The sequence below is a fragment of the Homo sapiens genome, chromosome 1 (assembly GCF_000001405.40).
Source record: "Homo sapiens chromosome 1, GRCh38.p14 Primary Assembly".
Taxonomy (NCBI): Eukaryota; Metazoa; Chordata; class Mammalia; order Primates; family Hominidae; genus Homo; species Homo sapiens.
In genome coordinates this window covers 229688729-229709248 of record NC_000001.11, presented here as the reverse complement: position 1 = coordinate 229709248, position 20520 = coordinate 229688729, and the positions used below count along the sequence as shown (strand labels likewise).

Below are 20520 nucleotides of genomic sequence, written 5' to 3'. Positions count from 1 at the left end.
AGTACAAGAACAGAGGTAAAACAATGGGTCAAAGTCTTCCTGGCTTAGTTTATGGTCTTTGGTGATTGAGAACAGCTCACAATGCCAAAATATGGCTCTGCTCAGAGGGACAGCCATGGAAGAAAGAAAATATCATTTCAATGAAGAACCAGCCTCCTGTGCAGGAAGTCAAGAAATCTCAATGTCTTGGGTCTTTTTAAGTTAATCACAGTTCTGTGATGGGATATCTCAGAAGAGTCACGGAAACCTTATTCTTAAGAGGATCAATAAATTAAGAAGGAGAACTTCTTAAGTGAAAAAGTTCACTTTGTAGAGAAGAAAACTGTTTTCAGTTAATGCATGGTTACTGAGTATCCACAGATTATTTTTCTTCTCTCTGTGAATGACAGCAGCATTTCCTAAATGAGTTTTGCCCAATATTCAACCTTTGGGATGCTCCATAGGCCAAAGAGTTCCATCTTCAAATTTCAGGGGAAAACTGCCTACTGTCTCTTCCTGTGGACAGTCATTATGCACATAGGCATATTAAAGATACTGGGTAGTCTTGTAGCATGGAAACTTACTTAATTAAAAACAAAAACTTCTTGAGTCCTAAACTCTTAATTGATAATGGAATCCTTTTTTAGATTATCCCTGATAACATCCCGAAGCTCTACTGAGCTCTGAAGCACCCTCAGAAGTGTTCATAAATACCACCAACAGAAAATGAATTGGACTCTTTCATGCTTGGTCAAAATATCATCAAAGTTTGACTTACACACCTATTAAGATGGCCAAAATAAAAAAAAAATTACTGATAATGCCAGGTGTTGGAATACATGCAGAGCAATACAAACTCTCACCAATTGCTGATGAGAATGCAAAATGGTCCGGCCACTCTGGAAGACAGTTGGATGGTTTCTTAAAATGTGACATATCTGTGTGTGTGTGTGTGTGTGTGTGTGTGTGTGTGTGCTGTATCACCCAACAAATCTACTTCAAAAATTTTTTTAATTTTTTAATTTTGATACATAGTAATGTATATATATATATATATAATAGTACATATTTTGGGGTAGATTTATGGGGTACTATTACAAACATGTAATAGTACATATTTATGGGCTACATATGATTTATGACATACTTATTTATGGGGTACATGCATAGAATGTGTAATGATCAAATCAGGGTACTTAAAATACTATTTAAGATACAACAAAAAAACTTACATTCACACAAAAACTCATCTATGAATGTTCATAGCAGTTTTACTTATAATTGCCAAGAGCGTCAAACAATCCAAATGTTATTCAATGGGTGTATGAGTAAACACACTGTTGTACACGTGTACAATGGAATGCTACTAATTAATAAAAGAGCAAACTATTCATACACACAACATGGATGAATCTCAAATATATTGTGCTAGCTGAAAAAATCCAAACCAAAAAGTTGCATATGGTGTGATTCTACTTATGTGACATTATAGGGGCAACCAGCCCCCAATATTTCAACGTAGATTCTTTTCTATTTTCTCTAAGTGTCAGCCAGTCTGAGAAATAAAGGGAAAGAGTACAAAAGAAAGAAATTTTAAAGCTGGGTGTCCGGGGGAGACATCGTATGTCAGCAGGTTCTGTGATGCCCCCTGAGCCACAAAACCAGCAAGTTTTTATTAGCGATTTTCAAAGGGGAGGGAGTGTATGAATAGGGTGTGGGTCACAGAGATCACATGCTTCAAAGGCAATAAAATATCACAAGGCAAATGGGCAGGGCAAGGTCACAAGGCCAGGGTGAAACTAGAATTGCTAATGAAGTTTCATGTCCCACTGTGCACGCATTGTCATTGATAAACATCTTAACAGGAAACAGGGTTCAAGAGCAGAGAACCGGTCTGACTAGAATTAGCCAGGCTGGAATTTCCTAATCCTAGCAAGCCTGGGGGCGCTGCAGGAGACCAGGGCGTGTTTCATCCCTTCCTACAACTGCATAAGGCAGACACTCCCAGAGCGGCCATTTTAGAGGCCCCCCCCTCCCCCAGGAATGCATTCTTTTCCCAGGGCTGTTAATTATTAATATTCCTTACTGGGGAAAGAATTCAGTGATATTTCTCTTACCCGTTTTCAGTAATAAGAGAAATATGACTCTGTCCTTCCCAGCTCCCAGGCAGTCAGACATAATGGTTATCTCCCTTGTTCCCTGAACATTGCTGTTATCCTGTTCTTTTCTCAAGGTGCCCAGATTTCATATTGTTCAAACACACATGCTTTACGAACAATTTGTGCCATTAACACAATCATCACAGGGTCCTGAGGCAACATACATCCTCAGCTTACGAAGATGACGGGATTAAGAGATTAAAGTAAAGACAGGCATAGGAAATTATAAGAGTACTGATTGGGGAAGTGATAGATGTCCATGAAATCTTCACAATTTATGTTCAGAGACTGCAGTAAAGACAGGCGTAAGAAATTATAAAAGTATTAATTTGGAGAACTAATAAATGTCCATGAAATCTTCACAATTTATGTTCTTCTGCCATGGCTTCAGCCGGTCCCTCCGTTCGGGGTCCCTGACTTCCCGCAACATGACATTCTGGAAAAAGTGAAAATATAGGAACGGAGAACAGATAGGTGGTTGCCAGGGACAAGAGAGTCTGGTTACACAGGGAAAGCAGAAGGGAATTCTTTTTTTTTTTTTTTTTGAGGCAGAGCTTTGCTCTTGTTGCCCAGGCTGGAGTGCAATGGCATGATCTCGGCTCACTGCAACCTCCACCTCCCAGGTTCAAGTGATTCTCCTGTCTCAGCCTCCTGAGTAGCTGGGATTACAGGCACCTGCCACCATGCCCAGCTAATTTTTTGTGTTTTTAGTAGAGACAGGGTTTCACTATGTTGGCCAGGCTGGTCTGGAGCTCCTGACCTCAGGCGATCCACCTGCTTTGGCCTCCAAAAGTGCTGGGATTACAGGTGTGAGCCACTGAGCCTGGCCAGGAATTCTTTAAGGTGTTGAAATTGTTCTGTATCCTGCCTATGCTGTTAGTTTCAAGATTCTATGCACATGTAAAACTCATAAAACTTTACACCAAAAAAGTAGATTTTACTCTATGTAAGTTTTTAAAATTAAAATAAAAAGATGATGCTGTTGGCAATATTTATCTATGTAGGAGCATTTTAACCCAGTAATACCATTCTATGAATTTACCCTATGAGTAAGTTTCTACAAGTACCTAAAGATTCATGTACCTGGCTACAGAGCAGAGAAAGTACAGAGGCTGCGTCTGGCTCCCGCTCTCACAGCCATTGCAGTACGTTGAGCTCCATAGAGACAACACTGGGACAAGGGAGAGCTGGACTTGCCAGATAGGCACTGGGCAACTCTGTGCCTCGCTGAGGAAAGATAACTAAACATGGTAAAGGGAGATCCTAAGAAGCCGAGAGGCAAAAATTTCATCATCTGCATTCTTTGTGCAAGCTTGTCAGGAGGAGCATAGGAAGAAGTACCCAGCTGCTCCAGTCAACTCCTCAGAGTTTGCTCAGAAGTGCTCAGAGAGGTGGAAGACCATATATGCTAACGAGAAAGGAAAATTTGAAGACATGGCAAAGGCAGACAAGACCTGTTATGAAAGAGAAATGAAAAGCCATATAACTTCCAAAGGGGAGAGAAAAAAGAAGTTCAAGAATCCCAATGCACCAAAGAGGCCTCCATGAGCCTTTTTCTTGTTCTGTTCTGAGTATCACCCCAAAATCACAGGAGAACATCCTGGCCTGTCCATTGGTGATGTTGCAAAGAAACTGGGAGAGATGTGGAATAACACTGCTGCAGATGACAAGCAGCCTTATGAAAAGAAGGCTGCAAAGCTAAAGGAAGAATACAGAAAGGATATTGCTGCATATTGAGCTAAAGGAAAGCCTGATGCAGCAAAAAAGGGAGTCGTCAAGCTGAAAAAGTGAGAAAAAGAAGGAAGATGAAAAGGACAAGGAGGAAGAAGTTGAAGTGAATATGAAGAAGATGACGATGGTGAATAAGTTGGTTCTAGCACAGTTTTCTTTTTCTTGTCTTTAAAGCATTTAACCCCCCTGTACACAACTCACTCCTTTTAAAGCAAGACATTGAAATGGGAGGCTGTGTAAGATTTATTCTTAACTGTACAGTGTTTTTTTTTGTATAGTTAACACATTACTGAATGTGTCTTTAGATAGCCCTGTCTTGGTGATATGTTCAATAGCCACTAACTTTGCCTGATACAGTATGGGGTTGTAAATTGGCATGGATATTTCAAGCAGGTTGTTGTTGGTGCACAGCACAAATTAGGAACGTATGGGGATGGTAGTTTTTTCATCTTCGGTTGTTTCTGATGCAGCTTATATGAAATAATTGTTGTTCTGTTAATGAATACCACTCTGTAGCCGCAAAACAAAAAAAAAGTTGCAGTTTGTTTTGTTGACATTCTAAATGCTTCTAAGTAAATACAATTTTCTTTGTTAATAAAATAAGATTCATTTAGCTGTGTATTCATTCATTTCATCATTGTTGGTAATAGTAAAACAAAAGAAGAAAGACAAGAAAAGACAAGAAAAGAATCTAGAAGGAGTCCATACATACGGAACCACTTACTTATAATTATTATAAGTAAACTTCTAATAATAAAATACAAATCAGTCATAAATCAGAAAATCGTATTATCAAAATCAATGCCTTGATTTTGATCATCATAATGTAATTATGTAAGATATTAATGTTTATGGAATTTGGGAAAAGGTATATGGTAATTTTCTCTAATTTTTTTGTAAGTGAGAAATTAGCTTAAATGAAAAGTTTTAAAATACAGAAAAAATAAGAAACCATCATAATAAGATAGAAACTTACCAAAGTTCCTGTTTTTATACCCCAAGGGACATAAGACACAGGAGACAAAGACCAGGGGCTGCCTAGGGTGGGAAATGTACTAAGAGATACCTTCGGGAGCTAAGCTATGAGGATGCAAAGGCCTAAGAATGATGCAATGGACCATGGAGCCTCAGGGAAGGGTGGGAGGGAGTAAGGGATAGGAAACTGCACGTTGGGTACAGTTTACACTGCTCAGGTAATGGGTGCACCAAAATCTTAGAAACTGCCATTAAAGAACTTATTCATGTTACCTAAATAAATAAATAAAAGGCTTACTGTTCAGAAAGAAAGAAAGGAAAGAAGGGAAGGGAAGGGAAGGGAAGGCTATGGCTGGGCGCTGTGGCTCACGCCTGTAATCCCAGCACTTTGGGAGGCCGAGGCGGGTGGATCACCTGAGGTCAGGAGTTTGAGACCAGGCTGACCAACATGGTGAAACCCCGTCTCTACTAAAAATACAAAAATTAGCCCGGTATGGTGGCATGTGCCGGTAATCCCATCTACTTGGGATTGCACTTCAGCCTGGGCAACAAGAGCGAAACTCCATCTCAAAAAAAAAAAAAAAGAAAGAAAGAAATGAGAGAGAGATGGCTTAAAAGCACTTGTGCAAGGTAATGGAAGGATCTTAATGGGGAAACTGAGTATGCAGGAACTCTCTGTACTCTTCGCAACTTTTCTGTAAACCTCAAACTACTCTCAAATGACTATTATTATTACTGTTATTAAACAGCAAAAAAAAAAAAAAAAAAGAAAGAGAGAGAGAGAGATACCATCATAATGCTAGGATCCCAAAGGGGTATACTCTCAGTGCAAGAGCAAATCAGAAGTAAGCCTGCCCTCACCCAGAGTAGACTATGAAGAAAATTGCTGTCTCATAAATTGGCATTATATGGATGGGAGAAAAAAACTCAGGGATTCATAACCTCATGGTAGTTCTCAGATAGTTTTGTAGCCCAAATCCATACTATTTTTATGGCTAGAAAAACTTCAAACTGAGTCTTTTTAAAAACCAGGTTCTGAGTTAATAGTGCCCATCTAGGCCAGGCACAGAGGCTCACGCCTGTAATCCCAGCACTTTGGTGGGCCAAGGCAGGTGGATTGCCTGAGGTCAGGAGTTCGAGACCAGCCTGGCCAACATGGTGAAACCCCATCTCTATTAAAAATACAAAAATTAGCTGGGCGTGGTAGCTGGCGCCTGAAATCCTAGCTACTTGGGAGGCTGAAACAGGAGAATTGCTTGAACCTGGGAGGCGGAGTTTGCAGTGAGCCGAGATCGCGCCATTGCACTCCAGCCTGGGCAACAAGAACAAGACTCTATCTAAAAAAAAAAAAAAAAAAAAAAATAGTGCCCATCTAGCAGATACATATCCTTCCTGAAGAAAACTACTTTCATCAGGGGACACAAAGAATTCCCACAAATAAAATTCCAACAAATATGAAGTCACAAAAAATATCACTTAATACCAAGAAAACAAATCTCCATGAGATGGACCCAGGAAAAACAACAAAATCAAATCCACAAGGACTTCTGAAATTTAAATTAGACATAGAACATAAAAGAATATATACAATATTTTTAAAGAATAAAAATGTTATATGGCCAAGATTTGGAAAATGAAAAACGTAATAATTTTTTATTGTTGTTTTTTGAGACGGAGTCTGTCTGTCTCTGTTGCCCAGGCTGGAACCCAAGCTGGAGTGCAGTGGTACAATCTCGACTCACTGCAACTTCTGGTACAAGCGATTCTCATGCCTCAGCCTCTCGAGTAGCTGAGACTACAGGCATGTGCCACCATGCCCAGCTAATTTTTGTATTTTTAGTAGAGAGGGGCTTTGCCATATTGGTTAAGCTGGTTTCGAACTCCTAGCCTCAAGTGATCTGTCTGCCTCAGCCTCCCAAAGTGCTGGGATTATAGGTGTGAGCCACCACACCCAGCCAAAACATGATAATCGAAATTAAAAACTCAATGTTGGTTTAACAGCAGATGAGACACAGATGAAGAGGGAATTCATGGAATGAAGAATAAATATGAAGAAGTGACATAGAATGAGGTGTGAAGAACAAGAGACAAAATTTTGAATCAGGCATGGTGGTGCATACCTATAGTCCCAGCTACTCAGGAGGCTGAGATGGGAGGATCCCTTGAGCTCAAGAGTTCCAGACCAACCTGGGCAACATCGTGAGATCCTGTCTCTAAAACAATTAATAAACACAAATAAATAAATGTTAAAAAATAGAATAACTGTTTTAATTTTAAAAATAAAAGAAATTTTGCAAGAATTTCAAATATGATGTGAAGGGTATTACACATACGTATGAATACCACTGAAGGCCATCTTGGAGGCCAGCTCCCACAATTGTGTCATTCAAGTCTTCTATATTCTTATTGATTCTTTTTACGTACTTGTTCTATCAGTCATTTAGAATGGAATGTTGACATTTGCAGCTGTGCTTGTGAATATATCTATTTCTTCTTTAGTTCCATCATGTTTTGCTTTATGTATTTTGGAGCTGTATTTTTCCATATCTACACACTTGGGGTTGTTATAGCTCCTTAAGGAATTGGCCCCTCCATCATTATAGAAAGGCTCTTCTTATCCCTGGTAAAATTCCTGGTTTGGGATTTGACTTTGATGTTAATATAAGCACTCCTGCTTTGTTTACTGTTCTCATCCATTTACTTTTATCCTCTATATGTCTTTACATTTAAAGTGGGATCATCCACATCCCTTGGCTTGTGACTCCCTTCCACCATTTTCAAAGCTGGCAACAGTGGGCAGAGTCCTTTTTATGGAGCCATTTCTCTGGTTCTCAGCAGCCAGGAAATGTTCTCCACTCTTAAGCACTCATGTGATTAGATTGGGTCCACCTGGATAATCCACGCTACTCTCCCCAGCACAAGACCCTTAACCTGGAGGACCTCAACCTCTTCAAAGAGCTTTATGCATGACTGAGTAGTCTAACCTTTCTCTCTTTCTCAGGTCTTAGCACAAGACTGTGAAGCCACACCTTTGATTTAGCACATTTGAAATTCAGTCCCCTGGTTGCTTTATAACCTATAACCTTGAAAAAATTATTATTTTGTAGATTACCTGGATTTTTCTTGTCAGGTAGGAGTGACATGTTCTTGCAGTATCCTAAGCAACTGTGGAAACTCTACTTACTATTTCATAAAAGCATTTTTTAAGAAACAAGAAAAAAAAGGAGAGAACATTATTGATTGTGAGGTGAGTGACAGTAATTGCTAGTCATATAACTGAGAAGTTGGTTCAAGACATCCAAATACATAGAGGGAAAGATAAGACCTGTGATGGACTTCATTTTTTTACTTTTCGATTAAAAACAGAAAAAGCCAATGTCCAAAGATATGATTCCTGGTTAAAGCATCCCCAGGCCCTCACAAAAAAATTGGCATATTTGATACCCTCTGATAAGCAAGATAAATGGTCTCTGGGGTACCCTCAGCTCAGCTGACCTCCATTACCAGTCATTAGCACAATGTGGTCAGAGATTAACTCAGCACATTTTTCTCCTTCCCACCACCATGGACACCACCACCATCTGAAGGCCGAGGCCAGGGCAACTCCAGCATTTACAATAAACGGCAATATGTATTGGGAGCTAGCAAAATCAATCCAAAGGTCTAGGGGGAAAAAGAAGGTATCTTCCTTGGGTCCTGTCTCTTGCCCTAAACGGAGATAAAACATGTTTCTAGTTCAATACTTGAAAGGGCAGGGATTTGTCTCTGTCACAGAACTGGAGACTTGGAAGAAACTCCAAATATAACTCCTCACCCTGGGCAAAACCAGCATAAAGTGATTTGTGGAGCATCTGTCAAGACCAGGAAGTGTGCCCTACATATATATGGAGAAGATGTGTTTGTCCCTTGAGTCTGGGCTGAGCCTATGTATAAGAACCATTTATTCATTTATATGGTATCTGTTCCTGTTATTTTTTTGACATAGTTAATAAAACGAACTAAAACTTATATAAAAGATTTTAGTTATTACATGATCTCAAGTAATTTCTACATGGTGGGGTTTTTTGTTTGTTTATTTTGTTAGAACTCCTGAGATGCTGTTGGGTCAAGCCAAAAAATCAAAGAAATGGCATCAAAAATGAAGGAGCAAGTTTAGTCTCTGCCAAGCTCACTCCTCTCCTACAAGTCACAGTTGGAGGGTGGGGAGCTGGCATAAAACCAATACATACTTCTCTCCCATCGGTGTGGAAATTTTTTTGTTTTCTTAGCATTAACACATCTGCTGAAAATACCTCGCGCTAGGAAGACTGTCTTCTCACAGAAGTCCTGAGGGATACGCGATCTTGTACATATGTTTACAAAATTGAGGCCAACAAAGTATGAGGGTATTTGAGGTCACTTGGTTCTGTGCACAGCAATCATTTGGAGGCTGTGTCTTTGGTGCCTGTTTAAGTCTGGCCTTGCATGGGAGTCCCAGAGGAGCAAGAAAAGCAGGACAAAGAAGATACAGAAAAGACTCTGGCATCCCTGTGACGTCATGAAGGGTCTGTTTGCTGCTGCCCAGAGTAAGTTGGCTTCACTGTTCAAGTTCTGGTCCAGTGCCTGTAGGAAGAACACATGCCCTGTAAATGAGGAAGAGAGGGCCTGTTGTCTGCCAAGGTCTAGCTGCACATGAACCTGAATCCTAACACAACCCAGCAAGATTAATATTGGATCGCACTGGGCCAACACCAAAACCAGCTCATAAAGGTTAAGTAACTTGTTTAAGGTCACACAGCCAGTAAGTAGCAAAGCAAGGATTCGACCCCATTAAAGCCTTCCCTCCTTTGAGGGCACCACACTGCCCTCAGAGAGACACATCCTGAATTAGGTTGTGTCCACCCTCACCCTGGGAAGCAGCTCTACCTGATAGATAGAAAAGTGGAATACAATTGACTCTTGAGCAATAGGGGTTTAAACTGTGCAAGTCCACTTACATGTGAATTTTTTTTCAATAAAATTTATACCAAGTTCACCTGCCTCCCTTTCCACCTCCTCACCTCTTCTCCCCCAATACCCCTGAGACAGCAAGACCAACCCCTCCTTTTCCTCCTCCTGCTCAGCCTACGCAACATGAGGATGAAGGCCTTGATGATGATGATCCACTTCCACTTAGTGAAGAGTAAATATATTTTATCTTCCTTATGATTTTCTTTTCTTTTTTTCTGAGATGGAGTCTTGCTTTGGTGCCCAGGCTGAAGTGCAGTGGCTCAATCTCGGCTCACTATAACCTCTGCCTCCTGGGTTCAAGCGATTCTGGTGCCTCAGCCTCCTGGGTAGCTGGGATTACAGGCACCTGCCACCATGCCTGGCTAATTTTTGTATTGTTAGTAGAGACAGGGTTTCACCATGTTGGCCAGGCTGGTCTTGAACTCCTGATCCACCCACCTTGGCCTCCCAAACTACTGGGATTATAGACTGAGCCACCACGCCTGGCCTGTTTTTTGGTTTTTTTGAGACCGGGTCTCACTCTGTCACCCAGGCAGGAATGCAGTGATGTGATCATAGCTCACTGTAGCCTCAACTTCCCGGGCTCAAGTGATCCTCCTGCTTCAGCCTCCCAAGTAACTGAGACTACAGGCACAGGCCACCATGCCTAGCCCTGGTGTGAGTTATACCCTCAGAGCTGGTGGCTCAGTAGGGCTTGGCAGTTTTGCAGCGTGGTGAATATATGCAGAGACATACATCAGCCAGTCAAGTTCAATTCCAGCTCTACCTCTCCAGCTGGGGGCCTTTGGGCAAGGCCTCACTTGAGTTTCCTCCAGCGTAGACTGTAGATATTAACAAGATTCACCTAATAGGCCTAAGGGAGGGAGTGGGCTAAAGGAGATAATCCACAGAGCCGCCTGTGAGAGCAATGCACGATAAATGTTAGCTATCTTGATTTTTCTTCCTTGCATTTACCATCATTTGCAATTGCAAATTCATTTGTGTGATTATTTGACTAATAACTGTCTTTTTCACTAAAAGACATGCCTGGTGAAGCCAGGGACTGTGTCTGTTTTGCTCACCAGTGTATCTTCAGTGACTCCCAAGCAGAGTCTGACACCCAGTACATGATTGTCAAATGTGCAGTGAATCGGTAAAGGCATGAGGAATAGAAGGCACTTAATACATGTTTGTTGGATTGTAAAAGAACAAAATGCTCTGGAAATGGCTGGTAATGTTTTTTGACCTTGGTGCTGGTTACAACTTGTGACATTGTAAAATATATATTTGGTCTTTATCCCGTTTCCTGGCATTTAACTCTTAAAATCCTTGGAATCTCCAAAGTGATGCATTTTTGTATGCTTATGTTGACTGATAGCTTTAGGATGGGGCCCAGTCAGGTCACCAGAAAGAACAAGGTATAATTAGAGGGCTGGGACTTTCAGCCCTACCCCCTAACCCCTGGAGAGGTGAGAGGGGCTGAAGGTCAAGCTGATGGCCAATGACCAATGACTTAATCAATCATGCCTACCTAATGAAGTTTTCATAAACCCAAAAAGGGCAGGGTTCTAGGAGCTTCCAGATAGCTGAACACATGAAGGTTCCTGGAGGGTTGCATGCCCAGAGAGGGCATGGAAGCTCTGTGCCCCTTCCCCCATACCTCACCCTACGCATCTCTCCTTTGTAATATCCTTTATAATAAACTGCTAAACATAAGTTAGTGTTTCCCTGAATTCTATGAGCCGCTCCAGCAAATTAGCTGAACTCAAAGAGGTGTCATGGGAACCCCAACTTGAAGCTGGTGGGTCAGAGTTCCAGAAGCCCAGACTTGAGACTGGTGTCTGGGGTGGGGGGCAGTCTTGGGGACTGAGCCCTCAACCTGTGGGGTCTGATGCTCTCTCCAGGTAGACAGTGTGGGAATTGAATTGGAGGACACCCAGTTGGTGTCCACTACAGAACCGATGGCTTGCTTGGTGGTGGGAAGAAATCCCCTCCACATTGGGTCGCATTAAATTGTTGTGATGTAAGAGAGAAGAAACTTTCACTCGCGTCCATGTGAAGAGACCACCAAACAGGCTTTGTGTGAGCAACATGGCTGTTGATTTCACCTGGGCGCAGGCGGGCTGAGTCCGAAAAGAGAGTCAGCCAAGGGAGATAGGGGTGGGGCCGTTTTATAAGATTTGGGCAGGTAAAGGAAAATTACAGTCAAAGGGGGTTTGTTCTCTGGCGGGCAGGAGTGGGGGTTGCAAGGTGCTCAGTGGGGGAGCTTTTTGAGCCAGGATGAGCCAGGAAAAGGACTTTCACAAAGTAATGTCATCACTTAAGGCAAGGACCGGCCATTTTCACTTCTTTTGTGGTGGAATGTCATCAGTTAAGGCGGGGCAGGGATTTTCACTTCTTTTGTGATTCTTCAGTTACTTCAGGCCATCTGGGCATATATATACGTGCAAGTCACAGGGGATGCGATGGCTTGGCTTGGGCTCAGAGGCCTGACAGAAACAGTTTGAGTTTTTCCCAAACGCAATTCTAGGGCAATACATATATGTTTTGAAATGTAGATTTTATCATTATTCAGGTCTGATGATGCCAACAGATCAGAAGACTGCCATTGATAAGGTGGCTTGTTGCAATTACCAAGAGGAGGAGGCACTCACTCCTCCACACGGGGCACACAGGCAAGCACTAGAGTTGGTTGAAGACAGAGGGAGAGGGGAAAACCATGGGCAAGGCTCTCTATTGTGGTTTCCAAGGGAAAGAGCATGCAAAACAGGGCAAGCGGGTTGAGGATTGGCTTGTCTGAGTAATTTCAGCAAGCTCTGGGGTATAGGGACTGTGCCTAGTTGTTTGCTACCTGGCCCTGGGGTGATGAGGGCAGGGAATCATGGCCTGGTCAGGAGTGTAAGTGCAATAGAGGAAGTGTCGCTGGTAGGCATTCTAGATTGGTTGGTTTGCATATGAAAGGTGCGCTCTCAGGCCAGCCCTTGACTTTCTCTAGTAATTAGCCCTGGGAGGGGGGACTCCCGCCAAGACAGCAAGGCCCTAAAACAGCAAAGCATCAGAATACAGAAAATAAAAAGACGCAGTTAATACAACATGCGACTGGGGCACCTTCCAGGGCATAGGTGTCCACAAAAAGTGCACACAACAACAAGGACACAAAACAGCGTTTCTAAAGCCACACTGACACTGTGAGAGAGATGCCTGACTTCTCAGGGTCACAAAATGGGAGACAAAGGCAGGCAGAGGGTGCAATTTTAAGAGGCTGTTCTCTCAGCTGGTGACTGAGGCTAAGGGAGGACCATGTGGGGAGGTTCTGTGCCTCCTCCAGGGGAGGGCACTAAGGCTCTGTTCTCCCTGCCCAGCCCTGTCCACCCGCACACTTGTTCCTCTGCCCTGTGAGCTTCCTAAGCTGCTTGTTTTGAGGGGCTTCATCTGAGAATGTTGGCCAGGGGTATTTTCCTGAACTGTGCTGCCTTCTCTGACAGACGTGCTTCCCATCCAAGACCAAAGCCCACTCCATTCTGGCCTCCAGGGGCCTGAGCTTGGCTGGGCCTTTTTCACTCGGATGAGCTTTCATTGCATTTCTAGCAACTACACTGTGGTGTAGCGATCAGAGCCACCAGTTCCGGAACCAGGCTGCTCCTCATTTGCAAACTGCAAATGATGAAATTAAAGTTAATAAGACTTGCTCATAGGGTTACTATATTAAGTTACTCTACTTAGAACATGCCACTTACACAGAAAGTATTATGTAAATGTTATGTTTGCATACATTACAGCACTGCCTAATAATTGGGCAGAAATGACAATCAGCTCAAAAAAACGGATTATAATTATTGATGATTTTAAGAAACTTATCAGGTTCTTTCTCCCTCAAGTAGTCCTTGTCAGACCCTTACTGGACCCACACTAAGTGCAGGGCCTGAGCTAGTCCCCGGAGGCAGATGTGGAAACCTGTCATCCCAGAAGAGGAACAGTAGCAATCACTTGTTGATTGGAACTATGCACCTTGTCTCCCTGGCTCGTGGTCTGATATTTCTCATGGCTATCATGTAGCCAGGCAAAGATCCTATTAGTATGGTTATGCTTTCAATTATTCAAACATTTACTAACTATCAGATGGCATTTTAAACACTGGGTACAAATGAGTCAACTTCATCCTTGCCACATCATTAAGGGATGGGTATTACTAGTCCCATCTTAGATGCAAAGAGAATGTGACTTGGAGCGGCTCAGTATTTGCCCCCTCTGCAGCAGTGCATGGCAGAAGGGATCCAAGCAAGCTGCACACAGGATCTTCTATGATGCAAATTCACACAGGGAGGAGGCAGAGCACCTGCCTGGAAAAGTGTCTCAAACTGAGTTTGGAAGGATATACAGGGGTTGGCCCAGCAAAATGGGTAGTTAGGATAAAGTCAACCTATACAGAGAAAAAAACACATTTCCAGAAGTGGAAGTGTGGGGTGGGCCCGTGCCTGGAAGATGCCAGTGTATCCGTGAGGTGTAAGACATGAGGCTAGAGAGGTGGGAAGGGCCAGGCCATTCTCCAGAAGATTCTAGATCAGTCCAGAATTTATTCTCAGGGGTTAAATTCAGTCATTTTGTGTACCCTCCTACCCATTTGAAATAGCCAAAATTTCAACCACAAACTCACTAAAAAAAAAAAAAAATTCCATTATTTGTCTTTTCAGATGCCAGAGGTCAAATCTTAAAACTATCTGGCCTGCCTTTGACCTTCATGGGAAAACCTAAAGTGTTCTGTCTCCATAGAGCTAGATGTTCATCAAATCCAATTACCTCTCCCAGCTGCACCGCTCACCAGGAGGCAGGGCTCTGCTGGGGACAAAGAGAGGCAGAGGAAGCAGACTGTCCCCAGCCCCGCTTCCTGCTGCAAATTAAGCCAGGCATCGACTGTGCCGACTCACCACCTGGCTGCTGCCACAACAGCAGCTGCAGCCTGTTAGCACTGAAGAGTTTCTCTCCCAACTATTCCCATTAGTGTGGCCAGCGAGGGGGAGGATGAGTAAGTGTCTGTGCTCAGCTTGGGGCTCTGGCTCCTGCTGTCTCTTCACTGGGCTCTGACCTCCAGGGGCTGGGCGGGACATCCAAGCGTCAGAAGCCAACATAGGCCTGCTGACTCCCAGAGTTCGGCGCCTAACTTGGAGACAGGGCAGCAGAAGAGATTCTCAGCCCTGGCTGCCAAGCATTGCTCAAGAAGCTTCAGATTCAGAGAGACTGGGTAAGGCGGCCCCTCTGGGTCTGTAAAGCACCACTGTGATTCCAAAGCACAGCCAGGGTCAGCACTTCACCGATCTGTATTCACCAGCTGTCCTGCACATGTGTCTTTGATAGGACATGTGGGAAAGACATTAGGCCCTTCCAGCTCCCAGTAACTAAATATAGTCCTTCACATATCTCAGGGTAAGGCACTCTGTACCTTTTCAAACTGCTTTCATATACCTTGTCTCATTTGAGCCTGTGAGCAAGGGGAGGAGGCCGCTGAAACCCCAAGGTGCACTGAACGCCCCTGATGCCTTTAATCACGCAGCCAATTAGAGGCAAGGTTGGAACTATGCACCTTGTCTCCCTGGCTCGTGGTCTGATATTTCTCATGGCTATCATGTAGCCAGGCAAAGATCCTATTAGTATGGTTATGCTTTCAATTATTCAATACTTCTGTGTTACAATACACTGCTTATGTGGAACTGCTTGTAAGTGGCCATCATTGACTTCACCGATGAATCTGCTCCCCCTGTGTTGGAGAAAGTACCGAGTCATTGCCTCTAACCCCTAGCAAATGTAAAATACCTTTGCAATAGCTGGAAAAAGAAAATCACTGATGCCGACAGAATCTCCTTCATTCTCATAGACTAGGTAACAAAAGGGGAAGAAATCATGTCAGCTGAAAGATCTGGGGAGAAATCGATTTGGGACTGCTAGAATCACAGGAAGTTTTTGTTGAAGGATCAGAAACCCACGCAAGCCAGCTCAAGCAAAAGGTTTATTGTACAAGACACAGAGCGATGTAACAGAACCCAGCTGTAGGAAGTGCAGCTGGGTCTCCAGGGAACCAGAGAATGAATGGCAACCGTTTCTCAAGCCACATCATCTCTCATCTTGGCTTCTCTCTGTACACCTGCTCCCATATCCTCCCTATGGGCTGGCTTCCCCTTGCTGTTCAGGGTTTCTGCTCCTTCACAACTTCAGTTTGCTTATTGCTTTGTCTAAGTAAGCCTCACCATGAAACTTGACTCTACATAACTGTACTTGGAACCTATAGCTAATCAAGTCAGTCCCCGGAACTGGAAGCATCCCTATTCCAGATCCTCAGGGAGAGGATCTGACTGTTTGGCTGGGCTGGCAGGGCCCACCCCACTGTCCACTCATCTGATTCCAGGAAGGATTGAGTCTCATGGGATGCTGCCTAGATCTAAGCTGGCAATGGGGATGACAGGTAAAGAGACCAGTCACTTAGAACTGAGCCAAGACAAACTCAGATGACTCTATCCCAGGAAGAAAGGCAAAGCCTCCCTTCTGAAAGCCATTCAACAAGCAGGTCATTGAAGTGTGTTGGAACACAGGTTAGAATAATAAATAATAGGCTGGGTGTGGCGGCTCACGCCTGTAATCCCAGCACTTTGGGAGGCCAAGGTGGGTGGATCACCTGAGGTCAGGAGTTCAAGACCAGCCTGGCCAACATGGCGAAACCCTGTCTCTACTAAAAATTTAAAAATTAGCTGGGCATGGTGGTGCATGCCTGTAGTCCCAGCTACTTGGGAGGCTGAGACATGAGAATTGCTTGAACCTGGGAGGCAGAGGTTGCAGTGAGCCAAGATCGCACCACTGCACTCCAGCCTGGGTGACAGAGCGAGACTCCGTCTGAAACAAACAAACAAAAAAGAATGATAATAATGTGTGAAAAACCAGGACGCACAATCTACGGGACCACATTCTCACTGAGGAAGTGGTTTTCTAGAGCAGTGACTATATAATCCTTTTAGTAGGTGAATCAGTCAAGCAGGTCAAAATACCTCATTTCCCAACAAACCTTACAAGAAAAAAAGCCCTGCCAGATTAAACAAGAATATGAGTCTCTTCTAGACGAGATTCTGAAAACCCAGATAAGTAAGAAAAACACTGGACCAGGACTCCGAAATCCCGAGTTTTCATTCAGGCTTTGTTATGAATTTTTCATCTGGTGGCCCTTCCTTCTTCATTTAGCTAACTTCTCATCAAGACTCAGCTCCCAGGGCTGAGGCCGGTGACTTACTCCTGTCATTCCAGCACTTTGGGAGGTCAAGATAAAAGGATTTCTTGAGGCCAGGAGTTTGAGACCAGCCTGGGCAATATAGTGAGACCCTCTGTCGGCAGAAAATTTTAAAAATTATCCAGGTGTGGTGGTGCATGCCTGTATTCCTAGCTACTCAGGACACTAAGGCAGAAGGATCGCTTGAGCCCAGGAGTTGGAGGTTACAGTGAGCTGTGATGGCACCACTGCATCTAGCCTGGGCAACAGAGTAAGACCTTGTCTCAAACAAACAAACAAAAATGCTCAGTTCCAGGAAGTTCCTGCTCTGTGCTCCCACAGGACCATCTACATGCCTCCATCATGGCAGCTCCCCATTGTCCTAAAATTGTTTGCCTACCGTCTGTTCTCTCACTGGAAGTACATTCCTCTAGCATGGATCCTCTATGTCCTCAGTTATACCCCCATGTGTTCTGCCGTACTTGACATATAGTACTCAATAAATGTTTTTCAGCTGAACTGACTATGAGAAGATATTTATCTGAGCTGCAAATCAAGGCACACACACTGTTGTCTGGCTGAAAACCTCGAGCCCTTTGTGGTAGGAGATTGGGTACCACTTGATAGACAGTAGAGAACACAGGGACAGCCAGTACTCTAAAGCATAGCCAGCCCCGCCTGGGACACTGATGTATCCGCCTGCCGTATGTGAAAAGAGATAAAATTTTAGCACCTTCCAAATGTACTGTGCTAAGAATAAAAGTTAAGCCCTGCAAACTGAGTCATATAACATGACCGTTCTTTTCCTCTGGTGCATGACCATTGCTTCCTGACTTTTGTGTTGAGATGTTACATGCCAACCAGACTTCCCATTCTTCATTCAAACCTACACAAAATGATGCTGGAGACCTTGTGGTTGTTATCTCCCTACAATAGGATGTTAAGCCACCCCCTTAGCGTGGAATCGATAGTAGCCAATCAAATCTTATATCTGCATGTTAGCCTCTCTATGGAAAATGCTGTGATTCCATTCAACACTTCCATTTTTGACCTCATAAGCAGCCCTCACTTTTCCCCACACCAGGACACCAGGAGCACCAATCACCATTCTTTGGTGTCCACGTGTCCTGAGATGGCCACCCTGACAGTGCACTTGAATAAACTCTCTTAACTGGGTCCTGAGCCTTTTGATTATTTCAAACTGCCAAATATTAGGAAGAAAATGTGCATATTCTCAAACTAAAAATGAATAAAGCCACACCACCACTGATGCTTTTCAAGATATATTTTATTACAAAAGAAAGTTTGAATGTAAAAACAAATACAGCAACGTCAGCACAATGGCAGAGTATGACCCTCCAAGCTCTTCTCCCCCAACAGAAACTTTCTTTTTTTGGAGACAGGGTCTCACTCTGTCACCCAGGCTGGAGAGCAGTGGTGTAATCTTGGTTCACTGCAACCTCCACCTCCTAGGCTCAACAGAAATATATTTTTTTACAGCAGAAACTTAAAAAAAAATGTTTCTATTGAGCCCAGGAGGTGGAGGTTGCAGTGGCTCACGCCTGTAATCCCTTTGGGAGGCCGAGGTGGGTGGATCACTTGAGGCCAGGAGTTTGAGACCAGCCTGGCCAACGTGATGAAACCCTGTCTCTACTAAAAATACAAAAATTAGCTGGGTGCGGTCGGTGGCGGGGGTGCTTGTAATCCCAGCTACTCGGGAGGCTGAGGCAGGAAAATCGCTTGAACCCGGGAGGCAGAGGTTACAGTGAGCCGAGATCGTACCATTGCACTCCAGCCTGGGCGACAGAGCGAGACTCCGTCTCAAAAAACAAACAAACAAACAAACAAACAAACCAACCATTTGTAACTACTTTAAAAAATAGTCTAATGTTTATAGCAACCACGTAAGGGCTGAGTACAGAAAAAGACACTTCAAAACCATAGCAGGGGGGCAGTGTTGTCTGCTGGGTCCTGGAGACCTTCGGTGTTGCCACTGCTCTCACCATGCCTTCAGTCCAGACTGCGTCACAGCCTCTCGGGAGACGTGGGCCCTCAGAACCTCTTTAGCGCTGGACTCCAGGCCGCAGGCAGCCCAGCAGCAGCAGCAGCAGGATAGCAGAACCTCTGGATGCACTCTTCCTGGGAAGCTTTGCTAATTTGCAGCTGCTGCACTGTGTTCCTCATTAACATCTGTCAGCTTAGTCATTACATCATTTCACTGTGGTGGGAGGGACTCAGCTCAGAATTCTATATATATGGAAAAAGCACCTGGGTCCCAGTCTTTCACTGGCTTCAACACAACCAGAAGTGCCTGCTCTTGAGGCTGGGTGGGCTTCTAGGAAAGATGTCCCTGCCCATCAGGATAAACTGCTGGGCATCCAGCTATGATGATGCCCTCGAGGACCCTGTGCCCATGACTCCTCCATCGGACACGGGCAGCGTCCACTGGAAGCCAGTGATTCCAGAGTGCAAGTATCAGTGCCTCACCAAGGAGGAGGAAGGAGAGACCAGCCTACCCGCCCCTGCCATGACCCTGTCATTGACAGTGTGACACAGTCCCAGTGGTGAAGTCTAAAGCTACCCATATCATCATGAATTCTCTGTTCACAAAACAGACCCAGGAAAGTACTCAGCATTTTGGGCGACAGGCAGGGTTGAGAGGTGCTGGCTACACACCACACAAGGGCCTCACCGCAGAGGAGACCAAGTACCTTCGAGTGGCGGAAGTGCTCCACCAACTAAAGCTACAGAGTGGAGAGAGAACAAGAGAAGAGAGGCAGCCTGCATCAGCCCAGTCAGCCCCAAGCTGCACTCCTCACTCTTCCCCTGAGCAGAGACCCAGAGGCTGGTTCACTTCTGGTTCTTCCACAGCTTTACCTGGCCCAAATCCCAGCACCATGGATTCTGGAAGTGGAGATAAGGACAGAAACTTGTCAGATAAGTGGAGCCTCTTTGGACCGAGATCCCTTCAGAAGGATGATTCTGGAAGTTTTGCCACCCAGGCCTACCAAGGAGCCCAGAAGCCCTCTCCAGTGGAACTGATCCATGCCCAGGCCAACCACATGACTAGAGATCCAGCAAACTTGAAGCCGCCCAAGATGGACATCCCAGTGATGGAAGGGAATAAACAGCTGCCACGGACCCATCATCTCAAACCCGGTGACTTGAATGTGCTCACACCCACTGGCTTCTAGAGTGCTTTCTCTTCCAGTCCTCTGGTAAAGAGGGTTTCTTGCCCCACTCCCCTTTTAACTTGGCTCTCTCTCTATATATATATATGTTTTGTTTTGTTTTGTTTTGTTTTGAGATGGAGTCTTGCACTGTCGCCCAGGCTGGAGTGCAGTGGCACAATCTTGGCTCACTGCAACCTTTGCCTCGCAGATTCAAGTGATTCTCCTGCCTCAGCCTCCTGAGTAGCTGGGATTACAGGTGCCCACCACCACGCCTGGCTAATTTTTGTAT

General features: G+C 44.2%; 2 pseudogenes, besides 2 other annotated features; both read left to right on the top strand.

Annotated features, from left to right (window-relative positions):
- Positions 1530–2057: an enhancer, noted in NCBI's record as "OCT4-NANOG hESC enhancer chr1:229842939-229843466 (GRCh37/hg19 assembly coordinates)". NCBI's record gives its function as "activates a minimal SCP1, AML or CMV promoter by ChIP-STARR-seq in primed H9 embryonic stem cells {active_cell/tissue: H9 hESC(primed)}" and the evidence as "EXISTENCE:reporter gene assay evidence [ECO:0000049][PMID:30033119]".
- On the top strand, positions 3227–4238 carry HMGB1P26 (high mobility group box 1 pseudogene 26; annotated as a pseudogene).
- Positions 13836–14337: an enhancer, noted in NCBI's record as "OCT4-NANOG hESC enhancer chr1:229830659-229831160 (GRCh37/hg19 assembly coordinates)". NCBI's record gives its function as "activates a minimal SCP1, AML or CMV promoter by ChIP-STARR-seq in primed H9 embryonic stem cells {active_cell/tissue: H9 hESC(primed)}" and the evidence as "EXISTENCE:reporter gene assay evidence [ECO:0000049][PMID:30033119]".
- Positions 19154–20317, top strand: KIAA1191P3 (KIAA1191 pseudogene 3; annotated as a pseudogene).